Source organism: Homo sapiens, chromosome 7 (genome assembly GCF_000001405.40).
Source record: "Homo sapiens chromosome 7, GRCh38.p14 Primary Assembly".
NCBI lineage: Eukaryota > Metazoa > Chordata > Mammalia > Primates > Hominidae > Homo > Homo sapiens.
Window position 1 is genome coordinate 84,810,918 of NC_000007.14, and position 8,926 is coordinate 84,819,843.

The 8,926-nt window shown below is 32.2% G+C and overlaps 1 annotated feature.

Moving 5' to 3' along the window:
* Positions 2,401–3,913: an enhancer, noted in NCBI's record as "VISTA enhancer hs2328". NCBI's record gives its function as "enhancer in: eye[5/6] | nose[5/6]" and the evidence as "EXISTENCE:transgenic organism evidence [ECO:0001131][PMID:17130149]".

Below are 8,926 nucleotides of genomic sequence, written 5' to 3' on the forward strand. Positions count from 1 at the left end.
ATTTTTTTTTAATAAATGTGTATATAGTAGTAACATATTGGGCTTTTAATATGTAAATAAATGCACTCTCTCTTGATTTCACCATTAAATCAATCAGTGCATTGAGTTAGTACATCAAGACATGTATAAACTACCTTAACAATTTTGGATCGCTTCTTATCATCACCATGCCCTCTCTCCATCCCTTTCTGCCTCATGCTGGCACTAAAGAATGCCAGTCTCTTATTTTACAAAAGAAAGCTGATATCGATGATCTTCCTCCACAGCAAAGAAAATATACAGAACACATTTCTCTGTGCACCAAACTGTCCTCAACTCACTACATATTTTCAGTGTATGTCAAAATGAAAGTGCCAAAACTGCCCTAAGGGACTATGAATACAACTAAAAAGAAAGAAATAAACCTATTTTTTCCCATTCAAAACTGAAGCAACAAATCTCAGAGTATTTTTTTTTTAATTTTGGAAAAGAATGGTATCTTTACAGTGGAAATACAGAATGTGCAGCCCAAATATTTTGCTGGGTGGAGCAGTGCATGAAAGGAATCTATGACAACATACAGAAAAAAAAAATTTAAGAGTATCTTGATGTGCAGAAACTAGCAATCAAAATAAGCTTCACTGGTGATTTGTGTGATTTGGGGAATGCAGCTGCCCATCCCACCAGCTAACCCAGAAAAGGTAACCCAGCTGTTTCTAGTGAAGAACCACAACAATGGGAATTCTGTTCTCTGGGAGACATGAGGATTAGCTGGTGATGATCCGGATTGTGTGCAGGACCACACACAACTCACTTCAAACAGAAACCCAAAGTGCAGCATTTGTGTGCCATGATACTTTTAAAAATCTGAACTAATCTCTTAACGTAATGCACCATTGATAAAATAATTCTAAATAGAGCAGTACTACTGCATATTATTTTTAGAAATACGACTTCAAAAATGTTCACTGGTTTCTGAGCTATTTAAATAGCTGCCTATTTTATCTTAATTCATAGTAAAAGATTTTGACTTCTTCCCCCTGAACATGTGTTTAGAAGTAAACATTTATAGGAACAAGACTGCCTCCATTGACCCCACTCCCAATTCATTCATTATAATTCATTCATTATGTGGTTAGCCTTCCTTTGAATCTACACTTTTCCTTCCTATTTTTATTTAAGCAAATAAAATTTGGTTCTATTTTAATTAATAATAAGCCTTTTTAAGAAACAAAAGTTTTGTTTTGTTTTGTTTTTAATAGAACCAAAGGTCTCAATATAAAAATAGAAAACTATCATTGCCAAAAAGGAAACAAGGCTGATCCTTGGCTTGTTTTACTCCTGCTTAAAGTATTTTCATAGTTCGTTATTACCCACAGGAGAAAGTCCAAACTCTTTCAGAGCACAAAACTTTTCATTCCCTCATTTCATCTTCACCCACATCTCTGGCTGCTCGCTATTTTACCCCTGTAGTAAGTAGCATTTCAGTTTTCCAAAATTTCCATTTTTTAAATTACTCTGTGGCTTGTCAAATGCAATGTCCTCTGCCAGTAATAAATGCCTCTCTGCCAACTCCAATCAACCTAGAAAACTTCTGCTCATTTTTTAAAGATCCAGTTCAAATTTTACTTTATTAGGTAAATCTTTCTTGGGCAATTTTGTGCAGAAATCCTGTACCATCCCTTCTGCTTTGACATATTCTTATAATAGTCCAATCACATTGTATTACAACAGGGTGATTATGGGTAAGTCTCCCATTTGAGGATTTCTACTTCTTCAAAGACAAGGTCTTTTATATTAATATCTATGTTTTTAAGGCCCAATATGTTGATTGTTTAGAATATAGTAGACATTAGGTAAATATTCCTTGGAGTTTTAAAACAATGTGTCAATGAGTTGATTTTTCATGTTTTGGTTCTAGAAATAGAGTGCTACCTCTCAGACAGCCTGCCCAACCCTGCCCTCTGATCAGGACTTGGAAATAGAAGATGGACAAGTCTTTTGGTTGACGTAGTCCTTAACCAGGAGTGGAAAGCTAAGCTAAAATGAATTGCTCCAAAGTATCTTCCTGTTCTACTGTCCACATCTTGTAAAACGGTCCTATTTTAAAAAATGTAGATAGTTAAGCCATTACCCAATACTCATGTTGAGAGAGAGAGAGAGAGAGAGAGAGAGAGAGATTTAGCTAGAAACCATTATAAATTGTATATAAATAATGCAAAGGTATGCTATTACTGGACCTTTTTGTTTCCAGGCCCTTATCCCATTCAAGCAAATGCTACATTTCCATTGTAACATTCAAAATGGTACAGAGCTATCTACAGAAACATGCCTCCCATACACATCTAATTCCGTCTTCTAAGGTAACTAAGATTGTCAATTTAGTATGTGTCCTTCCACATATTTTTCATTTGGTGTGTATGTGTGTTTGGGGTGCTTTATTTATGATATTGAGTTTCAATATTATTATGCATGTTTCTTTTCCAGCTTTCACTTTTTTCTTCTTTTTGTAGTTTTTACTAATGTCTGAAACATGTCAGTACTAGAATTCCTAGCAGGTATTATATGTTTGAAAACTTTCTTCCTCCGTCATTAAACACTAATTGTGACATATTTCGCCCCACCTTGAAGCCCTTCAGTCAACTAGAAAATCAAATAGGATTATAATCCCTTCACTTTAAAGAATGCCATTTCACACAATAACAACTTGCAACACCCAGACAAGTCTGATCAGGTTCTCTCTCCCTGTCTCCCTCTCTCTTTGTCTCTCTTTGCTTCTGTCCCTTCTGTGCAGAGACCATGGTTTAACATGTAAACTCCAACAAATTGTATTTTGTAAATTTTGGGTACCAAATAAATAGTTGTCAAAATGAATGAATGAATTTCTCATGACATTCATCCTATTCCAGCTTTCTTTACGGATTACAAAATCAACGATATTCTGTGGATCTATATTATATTCCTTTGATGATCATCAATGCTTAAAATATTATCTAAAGAACTCCATATTAATACAATGCAAAGCCATATATATATAAAATAAATTTATGTTTTACTGTGAAATTTTGTCAAGAAGAACTTTATGAATGTTTTTATTTGATACAAAGTTAAAAATAATAATTAGGAGAAACATTTCCATTGACTTAGTACCATCACTACCACTGTTGATCTGCAAGTACTTGGACTAGGTCAATAAAAATTTTTCTTGACTTAAACAGAAATACACAGACTTGAAAGACGTTTATCTTCAGTTTTTATTCTCTCATTGTTTTTCCTTATCATTACACTCTCATCTGTGTTCTTCCTTTCTTTACATCTATTTTGGTTTTTTACCACTATTTACACTCTCAAATGCTCTATTTTGCTTTTCTAACCATTCCGCTTTCAAGTGTTTTTATCCCTCCCCAAATATGTAAATGATTTTTTAAATATTAACACTATCCTGTCAAAAAAAAATGTAGTATTTTCTATTTTTTGATGTGTATCTACATCTCTGTAATCCAGCTGAAGGTGGTGGTAGAAAATATAAAGAGATTTAATCATTTTTTTAAAAGTCATTTTATATGGACAACAGAGACTCAGAAGGATGAGGATGTGGAGTGGATAACAAGAAATCAGTTAATGAGTACAGTGTACATTATTCAGGTGATGGATACCCTAAGAGCCCTGAATTAACCATGATGTAATCTATGCATGTAACAAAATTGCACAGGTACCCCACAAATATATACAAATAAAAAGAAGAAAGAAATCATTTTATAGCTGAGGAAACTGAGATCCCAAAAGCCAAATATCTCATTTACAATAAAAGCTAATAAAAGCAGATTCTAACCTAGAAATATGTCTACTGATATTTAGTCTTTGTTTTTTTGTTTTTTGTTTTTGTTTTTTTTGTTTTGTTTTGTTTTTTTTATTTTCCCACTGCAATTCAACATCTTTCAAATAAAGCCAGCATTTTTCTACAACCACTTAGTTTGGTACCATGAGTTAAGTTTGCATTAATATTAAATGTTTATTATATACAAAGAATCAATTAATATCATTTCATTAAAAGTAGACTATATGGGTAATGGTTCTGTTCTTTATGTTTCTTATAAGAAACATACAGTCTATGACATTGACACTTTTACATTTAATAAAATAACAACCAGATATTTAAGAACTTTAATTAACATTTTCAACTCCCAGCAAACATGTCTGTAATAGAGTTTCTAAATTATGCCCACAAAATAATACTGGTTCTTATTAAACAAGAAAAGTAATGGGATACTTTAAATATGTTCTCATAACCTGCAATGGAAAGAAACACGCACATACACTAACAGCTTTAAGTAAATTCTCACAGGTTCACTAAAAGTCTTTTTAGTATCTAAAGCCCCAAACATTGGAACAAAATAGAAGGCAACTATAAAAGTAGATGATATTTATTATAATGACCACCGGCAGTTTTGATATTAAATAAATATTGTAAATAATCTGAAAGTAATGGTTTATTTTATCATCTACTATACTGACTAGTATGTTGAAGATTTTCTTCTAAATAATTTTTCCAATAGGATGACATAATCACCCCTTTTATAAAAATATGTTTTCATGACCTCTATTCTAAAATTACCTCAGTTTCCCAGAATGCTTTCCAAGGCTTTTGGCTTTTTAGGAAGAAAGGGATGTTGCAGTTGTAAAATTTTGATAAGAACTTGATTTCAACATTAAAACCTTAGACTAGGTTGCTTCACTTTCTAAGATGTTTAACACAAACACACACACGTGCAAATATATATATATACACATATATATTTGTTGAATGAATACATGAATTTCTCACTACATTCATCCTGTTCCAGCTTTCCTTACAAATTATGAAATCCATGGTGTTCTGATGCATCTATATTTTCTTCTTTTGATGATGGTCAATGCTTAAAATATTATCTAAAGAACTTCATATTAATACCATACAAAGCCATATATATGCCACATATATGAGTGTATATGTGTGTGTATATATATATCCACATGTGTGTGCGTGTGTGTGTGTGTGCGCGCATGTGTGACATTAGCAGTAGCAATCCCCATAGCCTTTCTAGTTATTCTCATTGGGCCCATGCCCTTTTGCTTGCCAAACCAAAGCACCAAAGATTTTAGCAGCATAAACTACAAACATAGTTTATGTTACAAGCTACCCTCTGATTCACTGAGAAAATAATAACAGCATTCCCAAATATTTAGGAAACAGTCTTAAAAAATAAGTAGGTTGTCTCCAGGGCCTTAAGGAAAGCACTATAAAATGAGATAAATTAGAGTGTGGGAAGGAATGGCATCTATAAAATATCCTATTAATAAAATAAAAAATACAAATTAAATATCATTTTATCTTATCTATGGAAATTATGACATAAAGCTTCTGAACAGACTGCACCTTAGTGCTCATATGGTAATTGCAATTTACTGGCAAGTTAGCTTTTCTTAAGTTCTTAATATGTGAGGTCTGTTCATAGGTGCAAAATGCAACACCTATTAGATTTAGTGGCAGAGACTGATCATATGAAGATATTGCCCAGAATTAGCTAAAGTCTTATGGTGCTCATTCTGATTTTTTCCAGCAGTCAAAATAACTAGAAAAAAAATATGACTGCTAATTTTGGGAAGTGGCAATAATATTTTTATATAGGGAAATTCTTTTCAATAATATTTTCTGTTTGTGACACCTTGAAAATAATAAAGAGTATAATTATTTTAAAGTGTTTATACACGTGCAATATATACTTCTATATGCATAGAGTCTCAAAAAGGGATCCTGGTTCACAATCACTTAATTATTCTTAAAGGCTAACCACAAACATCTTTTTCCCCATTAAACTATTTCTATTGAATTAAAACATAATTTTGATTACCTGCCAATCTTTGGCTGAATAAAATAGATTTGGAAGTGGCTCATGGCTTACTTTATAAAAGGTGTGTAGTCATACATTATTCACTGTGGGATACCTCATAGATAGCTATTTTAAATTCTTGATTATTCAAAAAAATTTCATATTTCTTGAGTACTTTAGGAAGCATTGAAAAGTGATTTTTAAATGCATTATAAAAACCAATTAAACACATAATGTTTATAGATCTGGGAGAAAATTACTGGACATGTAATCTTCAATTAGTATAACCAGTAAAGTCCTCAATGCCAAGCCAGCAAGCCACCATTTCCTTCTGCTGTAGTCTGCAAGGTTCTTTCCTTCCTTCCTTCCTTTCTTTTTTCTTTCTCTTCTCCCCTTCCTTCCTTCATTTTTTTCCTTCTTTTTCTTTCTTTCCTTTTTTCTTCCTTTCTTTCCTTTCTTTTTTCTTTCTTTCTTTTCTTTCTCTTCTCTCCCTTCCTTCCTTCCTCTCTTTCTTTCTTTCTTTTTCTCTCTCTTCCCCTCTCTCTTTCTTCCTTCCTTTTTTTTTTTTTTAACAGGATCTTGCTATGTCACATAGGCTAGAATACATTGGCGACATCACAGCTCACTGTAGCCCAGAATTCCCAGTAGCTGGGACTAAAGGAGCGCACAACCACACTCAGCTTGCTTGTTTTTTTCTGTCACCTCCTCAGTGCTTTATACTTCTGCAGCAACTGTTTTGACCTTGCCCTTTACCTTTTAAATCATGGCATGCACATAGGTATACTAGTAAGGATCACTAAAATTCAGAATTGTTTTATGGTTTAAAAAACTGAAATCATTTACACGCTATGTAAGCATAGATTCAGCATAAGGATATTTTATATTAATGAGTTCCCAGAAAACTATGGCAAGAAATGTTTGCCAGAATGAGGAAATGTGCAAGGGGATAAAATATAATATATATCAAAATATTTTACAATAATATATATTTAACCCTGTGCAGACATTCAGTTGTCTTTTTCTAATTTAAAATTAATAAAATCTCGCCACTACCCTACAAGACATTTTGATAGAGATTTCTTGAAATTTATCAGTTGTGTGGTTTTTTAATAGATTCAAAAGAGTTTCATTGTTGTATATATTTATCTGAGCATTTTATAATATGGAGTACAAAATGTCTACCAAATACCCCAAAACTCCTTTCAAATTAATAAAAATAGCATAATCCATTTTTTATACAATATAGTACAGCCAAATATTTTTGAAAACATTTTTTAAAGATGAGAGTGGGTAAGCTAGTAGTTCTGAGCAAATTAAATGTCTTCATTAAGTTATTTGGCAAAGCTGCCTCAACAACTTGACAAACTTAAATAGTTCAATGCTCATCAAATTAAAGTTTATACCCTTTAAGAATGGGACTTGGTACTTGTTTGCTGGAAAGCTGCTAAATTTTGGATTAGCAGGAGGAATGTTCATTTATTGGAATGTATTTTGAAAATTGACTGCATATATTATATACCATCTGCAATTCATAATACTGCCAGTAATAGCTACCACTTAGGTTTTTCCACCTGTGGATCAGAATGTTAATTTATCATCTGGGATTGTCTTATTTTATTTGCACGATTCCCAATAAGGAAGTTTTACATGAGAAAACTCTCTTTCACATATGAGAAAACTGATCCTCAGATGGAATACATATGCTCAAGATCACATCTTGATTGTCAACAAAGGGAAGTGATCACAAGTCTCATGAAACCCCAATAATAGTGATTATCAGAAGAAAAACGTGAGTGAAAGCATTAAGGCAACTAAAACACACTGAACAAAAAAAAAATGCAAAAATATGTGATATTTATAGAACATGAGAAGAATAGAATTGATTCAATTCCAATAATTCAATTATTAATTCTCAATATTAATGAGAGAAGATTCCATCAGAAGAGGGATGTTGGAGTCTTTCTGGTCCTTGTTTAGTCGTCTCTTCAGTGCAACTGTATGGTCTTCACAATGAAAACTATATATTGCAGTTTCCATTCATGTAAGGTTGTAAATATTAGTTAAACGACTTAGATATTCACAGGATAGACCCTTCTTATCTGAGGTTCTAAAATATTTAACCTAGCTAGAATTTTTGAGCTTATAAAAATAAAAGCTATTAAACTTTTGCATAGAAAACGACAATGAATTTTCTAGCTTATCAAATGCAGAATCATAATTACTAAAAATCATCACTCTAGAACTCCAAAGGTATGATAATTATCCCTTTGTCAAAATAATTATACAATTGCTAAGATGTGAACATGTCTTTTATATTCCACTGCGCAATATCTGGATTTCTATATTACTCTTAGGGACCCTGAATGTGCTTTAGAAAAAAAATAACTAAAAATATTTATCCTTTCATTTCTTATTGTGACTCTATTTCTAAAGAGAAAACTAACATAAATTCTTAATATCTAGGGTCTTAGAAGAAGCCAATTACTCTTTTGAAAATGTTTTTTTACATGTAGAGGAGTTTCTTATTTTCTCACCAATTCTAGATGGCAATAATTACTAAACCACTAGGCAGAAGCTACTGGAAATGTTATACAGTAGTAATTACACAGATATCCTTAAATTTACTTATCTATAACCAATTTCTATTACTCTATTATGAATTACTTTCTCAGACCACCAAAATCATTCCACATATATTTCACTCAGCAATGGCTTTTCAACAATGATTAGCCCATATGCGCCGTGCTTGGTTTAGCATTCCTTTCCATTTCTGTTCTTCATATCTTGGCAACTAACCTTAACTCCTTGACATGTGCAATTTACAATCAGAACTACCTCAAATAAGCTGTTTCATTTAACATTAATGAAGAATGATGAAATTCAAGAAGTATAAAAACATCTCAAGACTCATTCTTTCTGTTTTCAGAAAACTATCAAAATACCAGCATGTAGTGTGATTATAATTTTTCTACTGCCATAATTGAAATTAACTCCCAAACAATAACAATCTCCAGACAGAAACATCAGGGCTAAAAGAAATCCTAACACTGATACGTAATGTTTTCCATACTGGATGG